Below are 27,340 nucleotides of genomic sequence, written 5' to 3' on the forward strand. Positions count from 1 at the left end.
GGGTGTGGTGGTACACACCTGTAATCCTAGCTATTCAGGAGGCTGAGGCAGGAGAATGGCTTGAACCCGGGAGGCAGAGGTTTCAGTGAGCCAAAATTGTGCCAGTGCACTCCAGCCTGGGCAACAGAACAAGATTCCATCTCAAAAAATAAAATTAAAGAAAATAAAATTCATATGGAACCAAAAAAGACCCAGAATAGCCAAAGCAATATTGGGTAAAAAGAACAAAGCTGGAGGCATCACAGTAACTGACTTCAAAATAAGGCTAATTTAGCCAAAATGGCACTGTATTGGTATAAAAATAGATCAATGTAATAGAATGGAGAACCTAGAAATAAATCCACGTAGTTACAGCCAATGGAGTTTTGAGAAAGATGTCAAAAATACACAATGGGGAATGGACACCCCTCTTCAATGAATGGTGCTGGGAAAATTGGAGCTCTCTCTACATGCAGAAGAATAAACCAGACCCCTCTCTCTCACTGCATATAAAAATAAACTCGAGATGGATTAAAGACTTAAATTTAAGACCTAAAACTAGTTAAAACTACTAGAAGAAAACATAAGGGAATCACTTCAGGACACTGGTCTAAGCAAAGCTTTTATAGCTAAGGCCTAAAAAGTATAGGCAACAAAAACAAAAATAGTTAAGTGGGACTATATTAAGCTAAAAAGCTTCTGCACAGCAAAGGAAACAACAGAGTGAAGAGACAGCCTGTTGAATGGGAGAAAATACTTGCAAACTATTCATCCAACAAGGGACTAATATATAGAATATGAGGAACTCAAACAACACAACAGTAAACAAATCCTATTAAAAAGTGGGCAAGGGAGATGAATAGACATATCTCAAAAGAAGACATACAAATGGCTAACAGGTATATGAAAAAAACACTCAACATCACTAATGATCAGGGAAATGCAAATCAAAACCACAATGAGATATCATCTTACCAAGTTAAAATGGCTATTACTAAAAGAACATAACAAATGCTGGCAAGGATGTGGAGAAAAAGGAACTTACACTGCTGGTGGGAATGTAAATTAGGGTAGTCATTGTGGAAAACAGTATGGAGATTTCTCAAAAAACTAAGAAGAGAACTATCATATCCAACAGTCCTACTACTATTTACCCAAAGACAAAAAATCAGTATATCAAAGAGACAACCTGCACTCCCATCTCCCATGTTTACTGCAGCACAATTCACAAGAGCAAAGATATGGAATGCACTTAAGTGTCCACCAATGGATGAGTGGATAAAGAAAATGTAGTATATATAGATGCAGTGAAATACTATCAGGCCATAAAAACCAAGGAAATCATGTCATTTGCAGCAACATGGATGGAACTGGAGACTTTTATCTTTTTTTTTTTTTTTTTTTTTGGAGACAGAGTCTCGCTCTGTCACCAGGCTGGAGTGCAGTGGCACAATCTTGGCTCACTGCAACCTCCACCTCCCGGGTTCCAGCGATTCCCCTGCCTCAGCCTCCCAAGTAGCTGGGACTACAGGCATGTGCCACCACACCCAGCTAATTTTTTTTTTTTTTTTGTATTTTAGTAGAGACGGGGTTTCACCATGTTGGCCAGGATGGTCTCGATCTCCTGACTCTGTGATCCTCCCACCTCGGCCTCCCAAAGTGCTGGGATTACAGGCGTGAGCCATGATGCCCAGCCATTGGAGATTTTTATCTTAAGTGAAATTAAGCCAGGCCCAAAAAGACAAATATTGCATGTTCTCACTCATATGTGAGAGCTAAAAAAGTTGATCTCAGGGAGGAAGAAAATGGAATATTAGAAGTTGGGGGCCGGGCGTGGTGGCTCATGCCTGTAATCTCAATACTTTGGGAGGCTGAGGCAGGTGGATCACTTGAGGTCAGGAGTTCGAGACTAGCCTGGGCAACATGGTGAAACCCCGTCTCTACTAAAAATACAAAAATTAGCCAGGCATGGCAGCATGCGCCTGTAGTCCCAGCTACTCGGGAGGCTGAAGCAGGAGAATTGCTTGAACCCGTGAGGCGGAGGTTGCAGTGAGCCAAGATCACACCAATGTACTCCAGCCTGGTAACAGAGCAAGATTCTGTCTCAAAAAAAAAAAAAAAAAAAAAAAAGAAGTTGGGGTGGGTTGGCTAATAAAAAAATAAAAACAGGTTAGTTAATAGGTAAAAACATATAGTAAGAAAAAATAAGTTATAATGTTCAGTAGCAGAGTAGGATGACTACAGCCAACAACAATATGTTGTATATTTCAGAACAGCTAAAAGAGAAGACATGAAATGATCCCAACACATAGAAATAATAAGTACTCAAGGTGATGGACACCACAAACACCCTGACTTAATCATTACACAGTCTATGATTGTAACAAAATATCACATACATACCCCATAAATAGGTACAAATGTCTGTATCAATTAAAAGAATCCAGGGGTTTTATTTAAACTTTCATAATCTCAATAGAAGTTATAATAAAACAGGCTAAAAACTGGTAATATTTTAAAAATTGGGGGAGATGACAAAAGAAGTGTAACAATGTTTGGGTAGAAATCTTTTAAATCTACTATGTCTTCTTTAAAAAATTAAGAAATCCATGGCTTCACAATTAAAATAGAACTACTTCTCAACACCGTGAGTTGAATAATGATGTTTAAAATGTTACTTCAGTTGTCACCATCTGCTTTGCCTTTAAGAAAAGTAAATTTAAAAAATATAAATAGAACTATAGATATATAAAATTTCTAGTTCTATTTTTTATATATACATTTATATATATATAAAAATGTATATATAAAAAATTTCTAGTTCTATTACCTGTTCTCCAAAGTGAGTAAAGCAGAGTAAATTCCCATCTACACAGCCAATACAAATATACTGTGAGCAACATTGTGGGGAAGAGAAGAGTGGTTTTCCACAGGAATGTTTCCAAATAACGTTCCCAGTAGCCTGTCACAGGAAAAAGCAATTCACAGCATTTTATGTCATCCTACTAATCAGTTACCCTTTAAAAAACAAACTCATACATCTCCTAGGGTTAGAACTAAAATAGCAGAAAATGCTGTAGTGGTATGCAGACATAAATGAAGCTGGTATACATATATAAAATTAATCAGTGCTATTTATGAGAACTAGGAAAAAGGCTTGCAATAAAAGCAGCAAAGAAAAAACTAGCACCTAAGAGTTATCCCTGTGATGGACATAAAGTTCTTAATATGATGAAAAAAATTTTGTCAATTTGAACCTGGGAGGCAGAGGTTGCAGTAAGCTGAGATTGCGCCACTGCACTCCAGCCTGGGTGACAGAGGGAGACTCTGTCAAAAAACAAACAAACAAACAAAAAAATACATATATATATATATACAGGAATTTAAATTTTCTTATCTTTCTAGATCTCATGTCAATCATTTTTAATGAATTCCAGTTTGGTGTATGTGGACTACTACAATTAACTGAAAACTACTCAAACTTTCAAAGCTCAAAGCAAAAATTTTACAAATTTAAAGAAAAGTAATAAAATCAATATGTATTATTTTATGCCTACAGGATTTACAGCCAGTAAAAGTCCTCCCAATGTAGCAAAATACAAATGATGTGGAATCAGGTTCAAACACGGAGAGGAAAAGACAGTTCCTCCACATTTTGACTTCCAAACACACTTCTTTCTCTGCAAATAAGAAAACAAATTAATTTGTTCTTGTTGATGGTTAACAAATCCATATAACCTACCCTTCATGATATTATGTCTGTTTAGTTAATATAAGTTTTTATCTTTAGTATAAAGTACATGCCTACTGTGGAGAATCAGATTAGTATAAAGACAAAGGACACTACCCAGAGACAACCAGTGTTAACATTTTAGCATTTTCTCATTTGATCTTTTTGGGGTATGGGTGTGTGTGTCTGGGCGCACACATCTGAGAATATGTGTATATACACACACACGATCTAATATAGCTGAGATCATTCTGAATATATAACTTGGTATCATATTTTGCTCACTGATTTTGTAAAATGATTTAAATATAATTTTAATCCATAATATCCCATATGAACATAAATAATTTCTCTCTCTACCTTATCATTGAACGTTTTTTGGAATTTCTAGGTATTATAAACAACTTAGAAATAGGCATCTTAATGCATATATTTGACTATGTTTCTGATTATTTTTGCCAGGATTTCTAAAAAACGAATTTTATTGGATCAAGGATATGATATTGTTACCTATGGTCAAATCGTTTTCATTAGAGGCCTCACTAGTTACAACCTCTTACCACTCTCATCAGCATTTAATGTTATGATGAATATGTCTTCTAATCTAACACCATTTGTTTATCTCAAGAGTTTTTAATTTTCATTCCTTTGATTATTAAATTCATGAACTATTTATATACATTTACTAGCCGTCTCTTCTTTGGGGTCCTGTGTATTTATGTCCCTTGTTTATTTTTCTATCTGCTCTACATTTGTCTTATTAATTTGTATTTGATCTTTATTTTCATTAATACTTATAAATATAAATGAATTTCCACTTTTTTTACATTTATTTCAAAAATTTTCCCAGCTTAATTTCATAATTCTTACATAACATTTTAATTTTTATGTAATCAGGTCTTAAAACATCTTATTGATATCTTCGTCATTTTTTTCTACTGTCAAGATGATAATCCTAAATTCTTTAATTCCAAAACTCTGAGTAGCACACTTATTTGTGGTAAATTTGGTAATGAAGTTAAAAAGGTCTTAAGATATTAAGACTTAATTAATGCTTTATTCTTCCCAGACCACACAAGCTTGGGAAATAGTTAATACCTGTTCCAAGGCTCAACTACACCTGACAGTTACTCACTCTTCTTCTAAGTATTGAAATTTAATGCTTCTATGCTTATGGTATTAGACTAATGAGGTGAATTTTCTTTCTTTTTTTTTTTTTTTTTTTGAGATAGAGTCTCACTCTGTCACCCAGGGTGGAATACACTGTCACAATCTTGGCTCACTGCAACCTCCACCTCCCAGGTTCACGCAATCCTCCCACCTCAGCCTCTGGAGTAACTACCATTACAGGCATGCGCCACCATGCCCAGCTAATTTGAGGTCAATCCTTACATAAATATCTAAAGCATATGCGTGCTGGTCATGAGATCCAATGTAAATGAGTCCTGTGGTTGGATCCATGGTTGCCGAGCTTTTGACAGCATCTTCAGTAGTAAACATCCAGTATTTTTCTCCACTATTACTTTTCAGAACATAAACTAATCCATTATAACAGCCTACCAAGAAACAAAGCACAAAAGATTTGATATAGATATATTACTGGAAAATAATTCTTTAGCCTACAGCATGCAATTTATATTCAGTCCTCCTCTTATACATAGGCTCTATGATAAGCTCATCTGGCTTACATTTTAGCAATGTAAAGCAGAAACTGAATTAGTAATCACTTATGTAAAATATCTATTTAGTAGGTGTATCTTATCTTTTAAAAGTACTTCACTAATTTTTTTACATACTTATTTTTAAGAAGCGCTTCACTACTGAAAAAATAATAAAGTACACTGTGGTGGAGAGAGATTTTTGACACATCTGGATTCAGATTTCATCACGACTGTCACTGGGCATTTAAATCACCCAGTGTTGCTAAGCCCCAAATTATTCATCTGCAGAATGTGGAGTCATCTACTTCCAGGGTTATTGCAACAATTCAGATAATGTGAACAAATGCCCAGTGCATAGAAGGTGTTTAAGAAGTGCTAACGTTAATAGTCAATGTTCATTGAGCATTTACTATGTGTCAGGCGTTATTCTAAGTATGTTACATCTATTAATTCATTTAATCCCCACAGTGAAGTAAGTACTATTATAACCACATTTTATAGATAACAAAATTGAAGCACAGAGAGACTAAATTACTGGGGAAAAATTACACAGCTCATATGTGGCAAACCAAGATTTGAATCTAAGAAGTCAATCTCCAGAGCCTATGCTCTTAACAACTAAACTGCTTTTCCCAAATTGCTGCTATGGATGAGAAGACAGGGCAGGAGTCCTTGACCTTGGTGTAGCCAAAATAACCTAACTGGAAGTAGAGATGGTTCAAATGTACAAAGTGAAGGTCACTCAAATTCCCTGGAGATCATGAAAATCAGGAGAAGTAGAATTTGGGGACAGCTATTTAGGGCAATTTCATTGATGCCCACTCTCTAGACAGCTCTGCCTATGGCCGCTGCCACTCATTTGAGGCCCAATTCCCAATGTACTTTTTATGCTTTTTTTTCCCCTGGCAGTTATTATTTAGTAGCAAGAGAGTAGTGGCCAGCTCAGAGATGACAAAGAGAAATGTCCTACATAGTAGAGCACCCCAGAACTCACCTGGGTAAAGATTTCTGTCAATTCAGTTTAATTCCAAAAGACAATACAAAAGAAAATCTTTTTGACCTTGGGTTAGGCAAAGATTGCTAAGATGACACCAAAAGCATGACCCATTAAAAAAATTAAATTGGACTTCATCAAAATAAAGGACTCCTCTTCAAAAGACACTATGTCACTACGCTAAAAGAATAAAACACAAGCCCCAGACTGAGAGAAAACATGCAAAACATATATCTGATAAATGATTTATATTCAGAATACATAAAACAATTCTTAAAACTCAATTTAAAAAACTTAAAAATGGGAAAAAGATTTCAATAGACACTTCACAAAAGATACACAGAGAGCAAATGAGGTTTTGAAAAGGTGCTCGTCAGACATGGTGGCTCACGTCTGTAATCCCAGCACTTTGGGAGGCTGAGGTGGGCAGATCGCTTGAGCCCAGGAGTTTGAGACCAGCGTGGACAACACACAGAAGCTCTGTCTCTACAAAAATTACAAACATTAGCCAGGTGTGGTGGTGTATCTGTAGTCCCAGCTACTCCAGAAGCTGAGGTGGGAGCATCACCTGAGCCCAGGAGTTCGAGGGTGTAGTAAGCCATGATGACGCCACTGCACTCCAGCCTGGGTGACAGAGCAAGACGCTGTCTTAAAAAAAAAAAAAAAGATGCTCAACATCACTGGTCACTAGGGAAAGGCAAATTAAAACCACAATAAAATTCCACTCATGATTATTTCAACGGCTATAACAAAAAAAAAGTTAAAGCTGACAATACCAAGTACTAGCAAAAATGTGGTGCAACTGGACTTTTCACACATTGATGGTGGAAATGCAAAACACTTTATCACTTTGGGAAACAATTCAGCAGTTTCTTATCATTCAGGTGTATTACTGAAAGTGTTCTGTAGTATAATTTTCAAAATGCCGTTGTTTAAAGGGGAAGAAGGGAAGAATCACATTCAGATTCAAGTAGATTGCTGCTAGGATAGCACAAGTAGGGAAAGCTATTCCTAAGCCTTTAGTTTGAAAAGCTTTGATGAAGATTCCATGAGCGTATAAAATGAAACCTAACATACTTGGGAGAGTAAAAAGAGAGTTGTAGTCAGGGGGAGATATTATACCCAGGACCCCCATATTCCTAATAGAGTAAAAGTCACCTATACCTTAATGAAACTAAGCAGCAGTTAGTAGCTAACCCTTAATGAGCACTTATGAAAAAATGCTCACCAGGCCAGACATGGTGGCTCACGCCTGTAATCTCAGCACTTTGGGAGGCTGAGGTGGGCAGATCGCTTGAGCCCGGGAGTTTGAGACCAGCCTGGACAACACGCAGAAGCTCTGTCTCTACAAAAATTACAAACATTAGCCAGGTGTGGTGGCACGTCCCTAGCAATGCACCAATTGATTCATAAACAGTTATCTCATTTAATCCTCCCAAAAGCTTGATAAAAGATTCTAGTGTTTTAAAATATGTCCAGGAGGCCGGGTGCAGTGGCTCACACCTGTAATCCCAGCACTTTGGGACACCGAGGCAGGTGGATCACAAGGTCAGGAGTTCAATACCAGCCTGACCAACATGGTGAAACCCCATCTCTACAAAAAATACAAAAATTAGCTGGGTGTGGTGGTATGTGCCTGTAATACCAGCTACTCAGGGGGCTGAGGCAGGAGAATCACTTGAACCCGGGAGGTGGAGGTTGTAGTGAACCAAGATCGCGCCACTGCACTCCAGCCTGGGAAACAGAGCCAGACTCCATCTCAAAAAAAAGAAAAAAAAAAAAAGTACATGAATTCTTTGATGTACTTCCTTTCAAGAGGTGGAGCCTAATTCTCTTCCCCTTGAATGTGGCCTGAACTGAGTTATGCACTTTTTTTTTTTTTGAGACAGAGTCCTGCTCTGCTTGCTCAGACCAGAGTACAGTGGCACAATCACCACTCACAGCAGCCTCAACCTACTGGGCTCTAGTGATCCTCCCATCTCAGCCATCCAAGTAGCTGGGACTACAGGCATGTACTACCATGCCTAGCTAATGTTTGTATTTTTTGTAGTGACAGAGTTTCTGCATGTTACCCAGGCTGGTCTCGAACTCCTGGGCACAAGCGATCTGTCCACCTTGGCCTCTCAAAGTGCTGATATTACAGCTGTGAGCCACCGCGCCTGGCTGAGTTATGCCCTTCTAATTAACAGAAGAAAACAAAAAATGATGGTATGGAACTTGGAACGCTAGGTCATAAAAGGTACTCTGTTCCTCTTTACTTGCTGTCTCCTGGATCACTCTGAGGAATGTTAGCTGCCATGTTGTAAGGGCAGTCAAGCAGCCTAGAGAGAGGCGTATGTGGCAAGAATTGAAGCTTCCTGCCAGAATCAGCAAAGAACTGAGGCTTTCTGCTAATAGTGATGTAAATGAGCTACCTTGGCAGATTTTCCAACCCAAGTCAAGCTTTCAGATGGCTATAGCCACGTGAAAGCCCTGAGCCAGAACTGCCAGCTAAGCTGCTCCTGAATTGCTGACCCATAGAAACTATGAGACAATAAATTTGTGTTGTTCTAGGTTGTTGAGTTTTGGGGTATTTGTGATACAGCAACACATTTTATTATTATTCCCATTTTACCCACAAGGAAAGTGAAATTCTAAGAGGTTCAGTAACTTGCCAAAGGTCACAGAGTTCATAATAGCTATACAGGTAGGTTCAAATCCAGGGACTCTTGACCCCAAGGCCCACAATATTAATCAGCACAGGGTTAACTATAATTTTTGGACAGCAACCAAACCCATCATATTTAGATTTTTAAAAAATTTAACTTGGGCCTATGAAGATTATTGTATGGTAATTCAATTTAACTCCACAAACCTCAAATTCAAAAACTTACCCACCACAATAAAGTTTCCACACTTAGATACACATGCTGAGGATTCAATTCGATCTCCCAAAATCTGTTCCCATTTTACCTTCCCAGAGTAAAAGTCAACTGCCTTCATTCTATGAGAATGGGAACCAATGTACACAGTTGTAGATGACTTATCAAAAGTGGGTATTACAACCAGCGGTGAAGCATCTACACATTTGCCTGTGTCTGACCTCCACCTCACATGTAACTCCATTTTCTGAGTCCCTATCGCAGGTTTCCCCTCTTCAGAAACTTTTGCAACACAGGATGGATCTTTTGACTTCCCAATAAGAACTGGAGAATTTAAGCCTTTCAAATTTTGAATGTTGGTCTGTGAAACTGAGTCAGAAGGACAGGCTGAAGAGCAATGTCCTAACTTTGTTAAAAACCTAGTGGAATTCAGAGACAAAATTTGACTCCCTCTGCTCAGTACAACAAAAGCATTAATCTCATTGTGGCAAGTGAAAGTCATGATGGCTTTCTGATGTAAAGATGTTCCACTGGCTTCCTCTTGATTAATGTCGCTGAGTTTCCTTTTTGTGGCACAACTCTTCCTGAATGTCACATCTTCATCTGGAACCACTGTTTGAAGGATGTGATTATAAATCTCTAAAATGGAACTGCTGAGAATAATTTCCAGAAGCCCAGGTACTGATGTACCAACAAGTTTTTCAATCTCACTGAGGAGCCGGATGGACTTTAAGGAATCTCCACCACTATTTAAGAAGAGTGACTCATCAGGAACCCTCAAAAGATCTTCTGGGAGATTCAGAGTAGACTACAGATGAGAGAATAGAGAAATATGTGACGTAAAGGTCTAAAAGCAAAAGACTTCAACATTTACAGGTAATATATAGAGATGAGAGTACCTACATTAATAATTAGAAATATAGGTCGGGTACAGTGGCTCACGCCTGTAATCCCAGTACTCTGGGAGGCCAAGGCGGGCAGATCACATGAGGTCAGGAGTTCGAGACCATCCTGGCCAACACAGTGAAACCCCACCTCCACTAAAACCACGAAAATTAGCTGGGTGCGGTGGTAGCCACCTGTAATCTCAGCTACTCGGAGGCTGAGGCAAGAGAATCGCTTGAACCCAGGGGGTGGAGGTTGCAGTGAGCCAAGATTGCGCCACTGCACTCCCGCCTGGGCAACAGAGTGAATCTCCATCTCAAAAATAATAATAATAATAACAATTAGAAATATAAAATAAATACTTTTAATAATAAAAATAAAGTTTTAAATTATTTTATTTATGTTAAAGGAGATCACTGTACTACCAATTTTGTCACAAATTCACTCTAAAAGTACAAAATATACTTCCCTTTAGAGCAGTTTTCTTACCCATAAAATTGGGACAAAAACATCTGATTTATTAATTATAAAGCCCACAAGATACCAATAGCCAATATTTCTATAATATGGGAATAATTTGTCTTTGGCTGCTTCATATAAAGCAAAATTACTTTCCAAGAATCTAAAAATGAAGTAGAAGAGACTTTTATCTTAGATACCCTCTATTTTTAGACAAGGCTACACAATTACATCCTCTTTTCAGAACCCTTTAAAAAAGAAAAATCTACATTTTATTTAAGAAAAATTATTAACTTACTGAGATATATTTTTAAACAAACTCTCTCAAGTAGAAATAAATATTGTTACTGAAAGTTCTTTTAGAATAATGATGTAAGCCCTAAGTATAACAGACAACGCACTGTGCTATAGCAAGATTTGGCTATTTTCTCAGCTCTGACAAGAGTGTTACTACATTCCACCGATCCTCTTAGAGAAAAGTTATGTCAAAACAGGCTTTGTCTACTTGTGCCTTTTATGACTACTTCACTTTCAATAAATTTCTTTGTCGGAAACTTAATCTAGTCTTATAGTAGAGAATCTAACCTTCATTTTAATACAAATTGGATAAATGAAGATATACTACCTAACATCTGGGTAGCAATAACATTCTCAGAAAATTTTATCCAACTTGTTAGGATAATAGCAGTCCCTAAAGATATAAAACGACCTCTTTATAATAATAATTTTATAACTTAAAAATTGTACCTTCCACAAATACTGTAATTTTTCCCAAAGGTCCTCTTTCCCACTGAGCTTATTCTCAGACTTCAAGTTTATGTAGTTTAAATATATCTTGTTTAACTCAGAAACATCAATTTTGCCTTAATATAAAAGAGAAATAACAAATGTTTTAAAACATTTTAAAATTTCACTCAAAGCCTTTATATATTCATTAGCCATATACATTTTTCTTTGTACAACACAGAAATCATATAAAGAGTTTGTTGTCAACAATCAATTCTAAAAAGTTGTCTGATACTACCAAGAATATACAGAGAAATAGATGAGAAACAGGTCAGGCATAGTGGCTCAGTCCTGTAACCCCAACACTTTGGGAGGCTGAGGTGGGAGGATCGCTTGAGGCTAGGTGTTCAAGACCAGCCTGGGCAACACAGCAAGACCCTGTCTCTACAGAAAAATTAAAAAATTGGCCTGTAGTTCTAGCTACTCGGGAGGCTTAGATGGGAGGATCACTTGAACCCAGGAAGTTGAGGCTGCAGTAGTGAGCCCTGACTGCACCACTGCATTCCAGCTTGGGTGAAGAAGTGAGACCCTATCTCCAAAAAAAAAAAAAAAAGAAAGAAAAAGGAAAAAAGGAGCTAATATTTATCCAATTTATCTCAATTTCAAGAGTTAAGGAAATAGTTCCATTACCTGAGCAATTACTGCATGTTGAAGTATATATTAAATAAAAATGAAATTGGGAAGGCAATATAATATGGTGATTAAGATTATATATTTTGAAGTCAAACAGTCCTAGACAGACAAAACAAACAATAATAAAAATAAAATTAAAATAAAAAACAGTCCTAGACAGAATATCAATTCTATCACTGTGATAGGTTAATTGTATGTGTCAATGTGGGTGGGCCACAGGGTGCCCAGATTAACCATTTTTCTGACTGGGTCTGTGAGGGTGCTTCTGGATGAGATTAGTAGATGAAACTAATTAAGGACTCAGTAAAGTAGATTGGGCATCATCCAAACTGTTGAGGGCCAAAATAGAAAAAAGGCAGAGAAAGGAAGAATTTGCATGCTTTTTCTTTCTCTTTTTTGAGATGGAGTCTCACTCTGTTGCCTAGGCTGGAGTGCAGTGGCGCAACCTCGGCTTACTGCAACCTCTGCCTCCTGGGTTCAAGCGATCCTCCCACCTCAGCCTTCCAAGTAGCTGGGACTACAGGCGTGCACCACTGCAATCAGCTAATTTTTTTGTATTTTTAGTAAAGACAGGGTTTCACCATTTTGGCCAGGCCAGTCTCAAACTCCCAACCTCAAGTGATCCACCTGCCTTGGCATCCCAAAGTGCTGGGATTATAGGCGCGAGTTGCCGCCCCTGGCCTGCACCCTTTTTCTTGCATCACTGCTTAAGCTAGGACATCTCATCTCCTCCTGTCCTCAAACAGGGATTTATATCATCAGCTCCCCTGATTCTCAGGCCTTAGGACACAGACTGGATACAGCACCGACTTTCCTGAGTCTCCAGCTTGCCAAAGGGAGATATTAGACTTCTTAGCTTCCATAATTGCATGGGCAAATTCCTGACAATAAATATTTTATCTATCTATATATTGGTTCTGTTTCTGGAGAACCATGACTACTATACTAATATAACCACTAACTAGCAAAATGATTTTTGGAAAATTACCTAACCTCTTTTTTTTTTTTTAGATGTTGCCAAGGCTGGAGTATAGTGGTTATTTACAGGCACAAACATAGCACACTGTGCCCTCAAACTCTCGGCCTCAAGCATCCTCCACTTTAGCTTCCCTGAGTGGCTGAAACTACAGGCGCTGACCACCATGCCTCACCTAACTACTTAACCTCTTTAAGCCTTATTTTCTTCATCTGTAAATAGGAATAATACCACCTATCCACAGGATTTTCTGAAGATAAAATGAATTAATTAGACAAAGCAGTCAAAAGAGGGTCTATCACAATAAATGCTAGTACCATTTATAAAAATAAAGATTTATGTTATCATTAAGCTAGTTATGAATACAATTAGTATTATTTGGCACTGAAACATATCTGCTTTAAATTACTTTACCGTGGGATGTAAATGGTAGAGAGTCGATCAATACAAGCTCATCCGGGACTGCATGACTTGGAAGATATTTCTGCAGTTCTTTAAAGATGTATTCTTTTACTGAAGCATCTTTAGACACCATGAAGAGAATTAATTTTTCCTGATTATACCATGTAACTGCACAAGACTCCACTTGCTGAAGCTCTTCAGCAACCTATAAGAGAGATTATCCTAATTTGCCAATGAGGATATTTACAAACAAGCTTCCTAAAAGCTTATTTTTTTAATGTCTGAAATCAAAACAGCTGAATTAAATTTTGGAATATACTGGAGATTTTTAAAAAATTGCTTTGCTACTGTTACTATTACTTGCACATAGGGTTCATAATATTTTTCAAAATAATAGATCCTAAAGCAAAATAAGCCAGTTAAATTTCACAAATATCAAAATCTAATTTGTCACTTATTTAAAGAATAACCATCTCTTCATGCTGGGGATAAGGGGCACCCTGAATTATTCATACCCTTTATTGTAATTCATCACTAACACAAAAATGTCAGGTGTAAATAATAGAGACCCCAGCACAGAAAATTGGTGGTGGCTGCTTCTACTACTTACATATATTAATAGATATTCAATATTTAAATAGTTCTACCTGTTGCACAAGTTCAATGTTAAGACGTTTGCCATGACGTTTGATCTGACTGTCTTTTCGTCCCAAAAAAAAAATCTCTCCATCTTTCACAGTCACAAAGTCTCCTGTAGCTCGCATTGTGCCAAGTGGTACTGTCACTTCATCATCAAGAAAACACACTCTGTTTCTGCCACCTTCCCAAGATATAAACACCAATGTCATAAAAATCCAAGGGAAATATATTAAAAACCATAAAATCAACATCTCCAAAAGTTCAGTGACTAAACTTCAAAATTTAAATATTAAAAGATGGGCTCATTTTAAAATGTTATCTGATAAAATCAGACACAATAAGTTCAGTAAATAAGCAGAGATAAAATGAAATTTATTTCTTAAAATTTATGGAATTAAAAAAATTCTTAGACTACTGATTAAATATAATTTTGGCTATAAATATAAATATGAAGGTCCAAGTTACAGTCTCTAAATTACTTTTATTAATGTGTTAGACATTATTATCTGAAATAATTATTGTAACATTTGGTATTTCATGACTATATGAATGAGAATAAAAATTATCACTGAAAAGCATGAGATAGACAAAAGAAAAAGACGAAAGGAATAAAATTAACACATCAGATCATTTTTCTTGAAAAAAAAATTCCCAATCAACAAATATAAAACAACCTAAAAATACTTGGCCACTGCCTTCCTGAATTGTGAAGCCATTAGTATCTCTGACTTCAACTACTGTTCCAAGAAGTGGAAATCCCAGTTGTACAGGCAATTCACATCTATGAAAATAAGATACAGAGCAGATTTAAAATTTTTCATTTGAATAGAATATTTTCCAATATATTTAAATCATACTGTACCAAATAAAGAAAAAAAAGTTTGTTACGCTCTAATTCAAAGACTGACAAGAGGAAAAGGTTAGGTGGAAAGGTAACCATATATGTTATTCATTACTATTTAGTACAAAAAGTTGCAGCAGTATCTTGGCACCAGCTATAGTAAGGAAGGTTCTGGATTCCCAACTTAAAATATCAGATACAATCGTGTTTCTAAAATTATTACCCCAGCACCTATCAAAAACACTGTCAGTGTTAAGATCCTAGAAATATACAGTCTCTCTTCTCTATATAGTACAATGAAAACCCTTACTTGAGAGTAGAGTTAAGAGTCTTCTCTGGAATCCTATAAATGGTCGCCCAACTTGATACCTCTGTGATACCATAAACATTAAATATTTGTGTTTTATTGCCTTCTCCTCTCCAGCTTCTGAGAACTGTCAATGATGGAAACGCTTCACCACCAAGGGCTAATACTCGAAGAGAAGTAGTGGCTGACAAAACAGTTGACTTGATAAGCTGAGATCCAAATCTTCTAAGCAATGTTGGTGTTGCCTGTAGATACATTAAAAATAATTTATTTATTTTCCTTCACTTCTTTAAAAAGGTAAGCACTGTAGTTATTATTTCAAAGTTAACATTTGGAGCCCACATGGAAATGAAGGCTGTGTTTATCAAATGGGAAATCCCATTTGGAAAACTACTGGTGCAACATTATCTTCTTGTTTTTTTTTTTTTTTTTTTTTTGGTTTTGTTTGTTTGTTTTTTGAGACAGGGTCTCACTCTGTTGATCAGGCTGCAGTGCAATAGCATGACCATGGCTCACTGCAGCCTCAACCTCCCAGGCCCAAGTCATCATCCCACCTCAGCCTCCTGAACAGCTTGGGACTACAGGCACGTACCACCACACCTAGCTAATTTTTAAAATTTTTTGTACAAATGGGGCCTGTGTTGCCTAGGCTGGTCTTGGACTCCTGGGCTCAAGCAATCCTCCCACTTTGGCCTCCCAAAGCTCTAGGATTACAGGCATGAGCCACCATGCCTGGCCCAACATTATCTTCCTAATGTGGGTATCACTTATGCTTTAGAAAAAAACTCAAGCAAAAATATTACTTATATTTCATCATACTGATTACACAAAAAGGTTTAGGATAAAAAGGACAAAATCTATAAAATCAATTTACCTTTCCTTTCTTACTCTGTATAAAAAGTATACAAAAGGGTTTAAAAATGTGCCTAAGTAGCTCTCTCCTCCCGCCGTCCAAGATGCCAAAAGGAAAGGCCAAGGGAAAGAAGGTGGCTCTGGCCCCTGCTGTTGTGAAGAAGCAGGAGGACAAGAAAGTGGTGAATCCCCTGTTTGAGAAAAGGCCTAAGAATTTTGGCACTGAGCAAGACATCCAGCCCAAAAGAGACCTCACCAGCTTTGTGAAATAGCCCTGCTCTATCAGGTTGCAGCGGCAGAGAGCCATCCCTCAATAAGCGGCTGAAAGTGCCTCCTGCGATTAACCAGTTCACCCAGGCCCTGGACCGCCAAACAGCTACTCAGCTGCTTAAGCTGGCCCACAAGTACAGACCAGAGACAAAGCAAGAGAAGAAGCAGAGGCTGTTGACCTGGGCTGAGAAGAAAGCTGCTGGCAAAGGGGATGTCCCCAGTAAGAGACCACCTGTCCTTCGAGCAGGAGTTAACACCATCAACACCTTGGTGGAGAACAAAGAAAGCTCAGCTGGTGGTGACTGCACACGTGGCTCCCATCGAGTTGGTTGTCTTCTTGCCTGCCCTGTGTCATAAAATGGGGGTCCCTTATTGCATTATCAAGGGGAAGGGAAGACTGGGATGTCTAGTCCACAGGAAGACCTGTACCACTGTCGCCTTCACACAGGTTAACTTGGAAGACAAAGGCGTTTTGGCTAAGCTAGTGGAAGCTATTAGGACCAATTACAATGACAGATACGATGAGATCCACCGTCACTGGGGCGGCAATGTCCTGGCTCCCAAGTCTGTGGCTCGCATCGCCAAGCTCGAAAAGGCAAACGCTAAAGAACCTGCCACTAAACTGGGTTAAATGTACACTGCTGAGTTTTCTGTAAATAAAAATAATTAAAATAATAGAAATTTTCCTTTAAAAATGTGCCTAAGTAAAACAATAATGAATAAAGATTTATAACAAAAGCTTTATTGAGATATAACTGACATATAATAAACTATTTTAAGTATACAATTTAATATGTTTTATGTATATACTAGTAAAACCATCACCACAATCAAAATAATGAACATAACTGTCTTAGTTGATTTGGCTTACTATAACCAAAATACTGTAGACTAGGTAAGAAATGTAGTGCTGACGGTTCTGGAGATGGGGAAGTCCAAGATCAAGGTATGGGCAGACTTAGTGTCTGGTGAGTACTCTACTTCATAGATGGTACCTTCTTGCTGTGTTCTCGCATGGTAGAAGGAACCAAAAAGCAACCTCAGGCTTCTTTTATAAGAGCACTAATCTCATTCATGAGGTTCCCACCCTCATGACATAGTGATCTCCTGAAGGCCCCACATCTTAATACCAACAGATTGGGGATTAGATTTCAACATATGAATTCTGGAGAGACACAAACATTCAGATGACAGCAATATTTATCACTCCCAAAACTACCTGTGTACCACTGTTAGTCTCCTCTCCAACTGGACCCCTTATCCAGACAACCACTGATCTATTTTCTGTCGCTACAGATCAGAATAATCTTGTATAATTCCATTAATATAAATTATATATATAATTATATATAATTATGAATAGAAATTATATATTCCATTTATATAAATGGAATCATAAAATAAGTAGCCTGTTTTGGCCTGCCTTCTTTCACTCAACATAATAGATACAATTCATCTATGCTGCTAAGTGTATCAACAGTTTCATTCCTTTTTATTGCTAAGTGGTATTCTATAGTATGGATCAGGACTGGGTTTCACTGTTCCATATAACATTTAGGATCAACTTATTCATTTCTAACAAAAAAGCCTACTGGATTTTGCTGGGAAGTGTGTTTAATTTACAGATCAATTTGGGGAGAAATGCAATCTCAACAATATTAAAACTTCTAATCTATAAAGACAAAATGTTATTTAGGTCTCTAATTTCTATCAACAATGCTTTATAGTTTTCAGTGTACAAATCTTGCTCTTTAGCTTTATTCCTATTTTATTGTTTTTTGATGCTAGTGTAAATATTATCTTAATTTCATTTTTAGATTTTTCTTTAATACATATACATATATATGTACAAATATATATATAGAAATACAATTGATTTTTGTATATTGATCTTCTATCCTCCAACCTGACTAAACTTTATTATTTCTAGTAGTCCTCCTCACCAGCCCCACCCCTCTACAATATTTTCTATATACAGGATCACATCAACTGCATATAAAGAGTTGTACTTCCTCCTGTCCAATGTAAGTATCTTTAGTTTTTTTCCTTCTTACCTTATTGTACTGGCAAGAACCACCAGAATGTTGAAGTGGCAAAGGCAAACTTGCTTGCCTTGTTCCCAATCTTAGGGTCAAAGCATTCAGTCTTTTATCAAGTATGGCGTCATATTACCTGTAGTTCTATTGTAGGTGCCCTTCTTCATATTGGGAAAGTTCCCTTCTATTCCTAGCTTGTTAGGAGCTTTTTAAAAAATCATAAATGGGTGTTAGATTTTGCCAAATCCTTTCTCTGCATCCATTAAGATAGGTATGTGCTTTTTGTTCATTATTCTTTACGTAGTATACATCATCAATAGATTTTTGGATGTTAAACCAAACATGCATTCCTGGGATAAATCCCACATGGTCACCTTTAAATTTACTGAGACTTGTTTTGTGGCTTAGCATATGACTTATCCTATGAAATGTGCCAATGTGCTTAAAAAGAATTCTGCAATCATTGGATGGAGTGTTCCATATATGGCATTTGGTTGATAATGTTGTTCAAGTCTTCGATACTAGCTGATTTCTGTCTAGTTTTTCAATCAATTATTGAAAGTGGGGTATTACAATCTCCAACCATTGAGTTGTCTACTTATGTTTTCAATTTTGTCCATTTTTGTTTCATGTATTTGGAAGCAAGTTTTAGGTGGATATACATGTATAACTGTTACATCTTATTGATATAACAAAGTACTTATTGATATACTGACAATCTTATCCTTATAAAATTGTTATTGTTGCTTGCTTTTTTTTGTTGTTGTTGTTTTTGGTTTTTTTTTTTGCTAGTGCATTTCTTTGCTAGTAACCTGCCTGGACTAAATCCATGAAGTCTGTCTCCCCTCATATATGTGGCCACTGATGTTGCTGCTTAGTTGTTTATTAAAAAATATATGTTCTTCTTTTTATTTTTTGTGAGACAGAGTTTCGCTCTTGTTGCCCAGGCTGAAGTGCAGTGGCGCAATCTCGGCTCACCACAACATCCGCCTCCTGCCTCCTGCCTCCCGCCTCCCGAGTTCAAGTGATTCTCCTGCCTCAGCCTCCTGAGTAGCTGGGATTACAGGCACCTGCCACCATGTGTGGCTAATTTTTTTGCATTTTTTTAGTAGAGACGAGGTGTGGCCAGGCTTGTCTCGAACTCCTAACCTCAGATGATACTCCCACCTCGGCCCCCCAGAGTGCTGGGAGTATAGGCGTGAGTCACCTCACCGTGCCCGGCCTTATGTTCTTTTTTTTTGAGACAGAGTCTCACTCTGTCTCCCAGCCTGGAGTGCAGTGGCACAATCTTGGCTCACTGCAATCGCCACCCCCCAGGTTCAAGCGATTCTCCTGCCTCAGCCTCCTCAGTAGCTGGGATTACAGGCATGCACCACCGTGCCCAGCTAATTTTTGTATTTTTAGTAGAGACAGGGTTTCACCATCTTGGCCAGGCTAGTCTTGAACTCCTGACCTCATGATCCACCCGCCTCGGCCTCCCAAAGTGCTAGGATTACAGGTGTGAGCCACCGTGCCCGGCCGATGTTCTCCTTTTTAAGTCTGAGTTCTTATGAGTCATCCCATGTGTAGAAAGCAAGTGATCAATCAATGATCACTAGACAGACTGTCCAAGTGTGGACTGTCCAAATGTGGAAAGTCTGTCAAGTGAATGGTTGGACAGACAACTTGAAGTTTAATTCAGAAAAATGATTTAAGGTCACAGCTTATAAAATATTTATAAAGTAGAATGACTCTACATCCCAGTAGGTACTTACTGTCCCAAATCTGTATGTGGATAGGGGAGCTCATTCAAAGTTCAGGTCATTTTCAAGCCTGATCCATCTTTTATTTTCTATGGGCCCTTTTCTGTCTCTTATGTGCATGAACACAGCCTCAGGTTCAGTCAGGAGTTGCATCAGTCCTTTGGTCTCTGATTCACATGAGTGCAACCTCAGCCAGGAATATGCTTATCCCACCACCACTGCAATCTCAGGCTAGAAGAGCTGTTGACCTCTCAGGCTAGGGAGCTGTAGGGCTCCCTACTGGCCTACTTCAAGATCATCATTTCCACAGATGCTGCAGCTGGTCATGGGCATTACTGACTATTACAAATTAAGTGAGCCCCTTCAAACAGACAGAATCTGTGTGTTGACTGAATTGGGGTGGGGATGATAGGAGCAGACCCATACCAGAATGCCACGAAGTTCCACTATTTTTACACAAAATTCAGCAGTTTTAAAAAACATAAACATTTCTAAGATTGCTATATGTCTTTGGTTGATTTCCAAATGTTGAAATGATTGTTTTTTTTTCCATTTTGTCCAGCTTTATAGTTGCTTTTTTGGGGAAGATAATCTGTTAATCTCTTCACTTGGCCAGAGCCAAAAGTCACATGGGAATAAAGATTTTTAAATTGTTTCTCTCAATAAAATCCATACGGAGTTGTAACAGACAACCTGAATTTTAATTCAGAAAAATGATTTAAGATCATGGCTTGTCAAAACATTTACATAGTAGAATGACTCTACACCCTCATAGGTACTTATGTCCCAGTTAAGATTCTGGTTTTTAGTAATAAATTATGATGGCAACACTATAAGGCATCCTAAACCATGCTCTTACCTGTTATGCCAAGAAGTTTATCATAATGAAAATCTCTTGTCAAAATAGGGGCTAAAATGGTCCTGGCTCTTCATTTTCACTAAGCCGAATTTCAATGTTGTGGCCTAACTTCTGGTGTTAAGTATAATATCAACTTTGAACTCAATAAATAAACACACATCTATGAATACTCAGCAAAATAAAAAAAATGGAGGCCGAGTGTGGTGACTCACGCCTGTAATCCCAACACTTTGGAAAGCCAAGGCGGGCAGATCACTTAAGGTCAGGAGTTCGAGACCAGCCTAGCCAGGGTGAAACTCTGTCTCTACTAAAAATACAAAAATTAGCAGGGTGTGGTGGCACACACCTGTATTCCCAGCTACTTGGGAGGCTGAGGCATGAGAATCACTTGAACCCAGGAGGTGGAGGTTGCGGTGAGCTGAGATCACACCACTGCACTCCAGCCTGCGTGACAGAGTAAGATTCCATCTCAAAAAAATAAAAAATGAAAAATAAAAAAATTGAAATACTTTTCAGATACTCATAAACTGAAATGCTAAATTGAGGGGCAGAATACAAGTCAGCATCCTTTGCTAGTAAATCATTCTAGACATACAAAAATGAGACTTAGTAGATAATAGAAAAAATAGGGAATGTTAAAATTTCTTCCGAGTTTTTTAAGGAAAAACTCAGGAAAAATGGAAAACATTATTATGCTGACACATTCCTAGGTATCAACCTAATATTTTACTCTAAAATGTTTTACTTTTAGACCATGCATGGTGGCTCATGCCTGTAATCCTAGCACTTCAGGAGGCTGAGGTGGGATGAATTGCTTGAGCCCAGGAGTTCAAGACCAGCCTGGGCAACACAGGGAGACCCTGTCTCTACAAAAGATTTTAAAAATTAGCCAGGCATGATGGCATGCACCTGTGGTCCCAGCTACTCAGGAGGCTGAGGTGGGAGGATCACTTGAGCCCCAGAAGTCAAGGCTGCAGTGAGCTGTGAGGGCGCCACTGTGCTCCAGCCTGGGTAACAAAGCAAGACCCTGTCTCAAAACAAAAAAGTTTTAAAGGGCATCAAGTTTAAATAATATAACTTTGTTACCAAGAGTATGTAAATAAAAAATGTCCAAATATATTTTAGGTTTGTGATAAACCAAAAATCAATCCTTTATTTCCCAAGAAACTCCTTATTCCTGAAACAAATAAAAGAGGTCTTTAATTTCCTCCAAAGCTTAGTCCATTTCACTTTGGAGGCCTTTTTCCCCCCACAGTAACTCAAGATATTCTATTCTTTTCAATTTCCAAAGCTTTAGTAGTATGTGTTTTGACAGCTTTTTTTTTCTTTGTTTGTTTGTTTGTTTTAGACTAAGTCTCACTCTGTTGTCCAGGCTGGAGTACAGTGGTGTAATCTTGGCTCACTGCAACCTCCACCTCCTGGATTCAAGAGATTCCCCTGCCTCAGCCTCCTGAGTAGCTGGGATTACAGGTGTGCACCACCATGCCTGGCTAATTTTTGTATTTTTAGTAGAGACGGGGTTTTGCCATGTTAGCCAGGCTGGTCTTGAACTCCTGACCTCAGGTGATCCACCCACTTTGGCCTCTCAAAGTGCTGGGATTACAGGCGTGAGCCACCGTGCCTGGCCTTGACAGCATTTAAGAGCCCTGCTTCATGTCCAATTAGGTCTGGGTAAGGTTTTTATTTGTAAATAAAATCTATATAAGGAGCGCTTTAGTAAATAAAAAAGTGTATATTATATCAAAGCAAAAATCCTTGATGACTTATATATCATTTGAAAGAAACTGGACTTAGGAGAGAAAAGATGAACCCTGGGGGTGGAGCCAAGATGGCCGAATAGGAGCAGCTCCAGTCTACAGCTCCCAGCGTGAGCGACGCAGAAGACGGGTGATTTCTGCATTTCCAACTGAGGTACCAGGTTCATCTCACTGGGGAGTGCCGGACAGTGGGTGCAGTGCACCGTGTGTAAGCCAAAGCAGGGCAAGGCATCGCCTCACCTGGGAAGCGCCAAGGGGTCAGGGAATTCCCTTTCCTAGTCAAAGAAAGGGGTGACAGACGGCACCTGGAAAATCGGGTCACTCCCACACTAATACTGCGCTTTTCCAATGGGCTTAACAAACGGCACACCAGGAGATTATATCCTACACCTGGCTCGGAGGGTCCTATGCCCACGGAGCCTGGCTCATTGCTAGCACAGCAGTCTGAGATCAAACCGCAAGGCGGCAGCGAGGCTGGGGGAGGGGCGCCCACCATCGCCGAGGCTTGAGTAGGTAAACAAAGCAGCCAGGAAGCTCAAACTGGGTGGAGCCCAGCACAGCTCAAGGAGGCCTGCCTGCCTCTGTAGGCTCCACCTCTGGGGGCAGGGCACAGACAAACAAAAGGCAACAGCAACCTCTGCAAACTTAAATGTCCCTGTCTGACAGCTTTGAAGAGAGTAGTGGTTCTCCCAGCATGCAGCTTCAGATATGAGAACGGGCAGACTGCCTCCTCAAGTGGGTCCCTGAACCCCGGGTAGCCTAACTGGGAGGCACCCCCAGTAGGGGCGGACTGACACTTCACACGGCTGGGTACTCCTCTGAGACAAAACTTCCAGAAGAACGATCAGGCAGCAGCATTTGCAGTTCACCAATATCCGCTGTTCTGCAGCCACCGCTGCTGATACCCAGGCAAACAGGGTCTGGAGTGGACCTCCAGCAAACTCTAACAGACCTGCAGCTGGGGGTCCTGACTGTTGGAAGGAAAACTAACAAACAGAAAGGACATCCACACCAGAAACCCATCTGTACGTCACCATCATCAAAGACCAAAGGTAGATAAAACCACAAAGATGGGAAAAAAACAGAGCAGAAAAACGGGAAACTCTAAAAATCAGAGCTCCTCTCCTCCTCCAAAGGAACGCAGCTCCTCACCAGCAATGGAACAAAGCTGGACAGAGAATGACTTTGACAAGTTGAGAGAAGAAGGCTCCAGAAGATCAAACTACTCTGAGCTAAAGGAGGAAGTTCGAACCAATGGCAAAGAAGTTAAAAACCTTGAAAAAAAATTAGACAAATGGCTAACTAGAATAACCAATGCAGAGAAGTCCTTAAAGGATCTGAGCTGAAAACCATGGCACGAGAACTACATGATGAATGCACAAGCCTCAGTAGCCAATGGGATCAACTGGAAGAAAGGGTATCAGTGATGGAAGACGAAATGAATGAAATGAAGTGAGAAGGGAAGTTTAGAGAGAAAAGAATAAAAAGAAATGAACAAAGCCTCCAAGAAATATGCGACTATGTGACAAGACCAAATCTACGTCTGATTGGTGTACCTGAAAGTGACAGGGAGAATGGAACCAAGTTGGAAAACACTCTGCAGGATATTATCAAGGAGAACTTCCCCAATCTAGTAAGGCAGGCCAACATTCACATTCAGGAAATACAGAGAACACCACAAAGATACTCTTCAAGAAGAGCAACTCCAAGACACAAAATTGTCAGATTCACCGAAGTTGAAATTAAGGAAAAAATGTTAAGGGCAGCCAGAGAGAAAGGTCGGGTTACCCACAAAGGGAAGCCCATCAGACTAACAGCTGATCACTCGGCAGAAACTCTACAAGCCAGAAGAGAGTGGGAGCCAATATTCAACATTCTTAAAGAAAAGAATTTTCAACCCAGAATTTCATATCCAGCCAAACTAAGCTTCATAAGTGAAGGAGAAATAAAATACTTTACAGATAAGCAAATGCTGAGAGATTTTGTCACCACCAGGCCTGCCCTAAAAGAGCTCTTGAAGGAATCACTAAACATGGAAAGGAACAACCAGTACCAGCCACTGCAAAATCATGCCAAATTGTAAAGACCATCAAGCCTAGGAAGAAACTGCATCAACTAATGAGCAAAATAACCAGCTAACATCATAATGACAGGATCAAATTCACACATAACAATATTAACCTGAAATGTAAATGGGCTAAATGCTCCAGTTAAAAGACACAGACTGGCAAATTGGATAAAGAGTCAAGACCCATCAGTGTGCTGTATTCAGGAAACTCATCTCACGTGCAGAGACACACATAGGCTCAAAATAAAAGGATGGAGGAAGATCTACCAAGCAAATGGAAAACAAAAAAAGGCAGGGGTTGCAATCCTAGTCTCGGATAAAATAGACTTTAAACCAACAAAGATCAAAAGAGACAAAGAAGGCCATTACATAATGCTAAAGGGATCAATTCAACAAGAAGAGCTAACTATCCTAAATATATATGCACCCAATACAGGAGCACCCAGATTCATAAAGCAAGTCCTTAGAGACCTACAAAGAGACTTAGACTCCCACACAATAATAATGGGAGACTTTCACACCCCACTGCCAACATTAGACAGATCACCGAGACAGAAAGTTAACAAGGATATCCAGGAATTGAACTCAGCTCTGCACCAAGCGGACCTAACAGACATCTACAGAACTCTCTACCCCAAATCAACAGAATATACATTCTTCTCAGCACCACACCACACCTATTCCAAAACTGACCAAATAGTTGGAAGTAAAGCACTCCTCAGCAAATGTAAAAGAACAGAAATTATAACAAACTGTCTCTCAGACCACAGTGCAATCAAACTAGAACTCAGGATTAAGAAACTCACTCAAAACCGCTCAACTACATGGAAACTGAACAACCTGCTCCTGAATGACTACTGGGTACATAATGAAATGAAGGCAGAAATCAAGATGTTCTTTGAAACCAACGAGAACAAAGACACAACATACCAGAATCTCTGGGACGCATTCAAAGCAGTGTGTAGAGGGAAATTTATAGCACTAAATGCCCACAAGAGAAAGCAGGAAAGATCTAAAATTGACAACCTAACATCTTAATTAAAAGAACTAGAGAAGCAAGAGCAAACACATTCAAAAGCTAGCAGAAGGCAAGAAATAACTAAGATCAGAGCAGAACTGAAGGAAATAGAGACACAAAAATCCCTTCAAAAAATCAATGAATCCAGGAGCTGGTTTTTTGAAAAGATCAACAAAATTGATAGACTGCTAGCAAGACTAATAAAGAAGAAAAGAGAGAAGAATCAAATAGATGCAATAAAAAATGACAAAGGGGATATCACCACCGATCCCACAGAAATACAAACTACCATCACAGAATACTATAAACACCTCTATGCAAATAAACTAGAAAATCTGGAAGAAATGGATAAGTTCCTCAACACATACACCCTCCCAAGACTAAACCAGGAAGAAGTTGAATCTCTGTATAGACCAATAACAGGCTCTGAAATTGAGGCAATAATTAATAGCCTACGAACCAAAAAAAGTCCAGGACCAGGTTGATTCACAGCCGAATTCTACCAGAGGTACAAGGAGGAGCTGGTACCATTCCTTCTCAAACTATTCCAATCAACAGAAAAAGAGGGAATCCTCCCTAATTCATTTTATGAGGCCAGCATCATCCTGATAGCAAAGCCTGGCAGAGACACAACCAAAAAAGAGAATTTTAGACCAATATCCTTGATGAACATTGATGCAAAAATCCTCAATAAAATACTGGCAAACCGAATCCAGCAGCACATCAAAAAGCTTATCCACCATGATCAAGTGGGCTTCATCCCTAGGATGCAAGCCTGGTTCAATATATGCAAATCAATAAACATAATCCAGCATATAAACAGAACCAAAGACAAAAACCACATGATTATCTCAATAGATGCAGAAAAGGCCTTTGACAAAATTCAACAACCCTTCATGCTAAAAACTCTCAATAAATTAGGTATTGATGGGACGTATCTCAAAATAATAAGAGCTATCTATGACAAACCCACAGCCAATATCATACTGAATGGACAAAAACTGGAAGCATTCCCTTTGAAAACTGGCACAAGACAGGGATGCCCTCTCTCACCACTCCTATTCAACATAGTGTTGGAAGTTCTGGCCAGGGCAATTAGGCAGGAGAAGGAAATAAAGGGTATTCAATTAGGAAAAGAGGAAGTCAAATTGTCCCTGTTTGCAGATGACATGATTGTATATCCAGAAAACCCCATCGTCTCAGCCCAAAATCTCCTTAAGCTGATAAGCAACTTCAGCAAAGTCTCAGGATACAAAATCAATGTACAAAAATCACAAGCATTCTTATACACCAATAACAGACAAACAGCCAAATCATGAGTGAACTCCCATTCACAATTGCTTCAAAGAGAATAAAATACCTAAGAATCCAACTTACAAGGGACGTGAAGGAACTCTTCAAGGAGAACTACAAACCACTGCTCAATGAAATAAAAGAGGATACAAACAAATGGAAGAACATTCCATGCTCATGGGTAGGAAGAATCAATATCGTGACAATGGCCATACTGCCCAAGGTAATTTATAGATTCAATGCCATCCCCATCAAGCTACCAATGACTTTCTTCACAGAATTGGAAAAAACT

General features: G+C 38.7%; 1 protein-coding gene and 1 pseudogene across 14 annotated transcripts in view; one reads left to right on the forward strand and one right to left on the reverse strand.

The window, feature by feature from the left end:
• AASDH (aminoadipate-semialdehyde dehydrogenase) overlaps positions 1-27,340 on the reverse strand; it is a 49,202-nt gene that overhangs the window by 1,736 nt on the left and 20,126 nt on the right. For 4 of the 14 annotated variants that reach the window (NM_001286668.2, NM_001286669.2, NM_181806.4 and 1 more), the window contains 9 exons: positions 15,157-15,398; positions 14,680-14,786; positions 14,014-14,186; positions 13,379-13,571; positions 11,317-11,432; positions 9,238-10,033; positions 5,102-5,265; positions 3,537-3,659; positions 2,810-2,941 (listed from right to left, as the gene is read on the reverse strand). In NM_001286668.2, the coding sequence (NP_001273597.1) occupies positions 2,810-2,941; positions 3,537-3,659; positions 5,102-5,265; positions 9,238-10,033; positions 11,317-11,432; positions 13,379-13,571; positions 14,014-14,186; positions 14,680-14,786; positions 15,157-15,398 (2,046 nt within the window). Of the gene's footprint in view, positions 1-2,809; positions 2,942-3,536; positions 3,660-5,101; positions 5,266-7,592; positions 7,710-8,921; positions 10,034-11,316; positions 11,433-13,378; positions 13,572-14,013; positions 14,187-14,679; positions 14,787-15,156; positions 15,399-27,340 lie in introns of those variants that run through there. The other 10 variants (NM_001323893.2, NM_001323892.2, NM_001323890.2 and 7 more) reach the window with 9 other exon arrangements.
• On the forward strand, positions 16,088-16,964 carry RPL7AP31 (ribosomal protein L7a pseudogene 31; annotated as a pseudogene).

This window comes from Homo sapiens, chromosome 4 (genome assembly GCF_000001405.40).
Source record: "Homo sapiens chromosome 4, GRCh38.p14 Primary Assembly".
In the NCBI taxonomy this organism is placed as follows: Eukaryota; Metazoa; Chordata; class Mammalia; order Primates; family Hominidae; genus Homo; species Homo sapiens.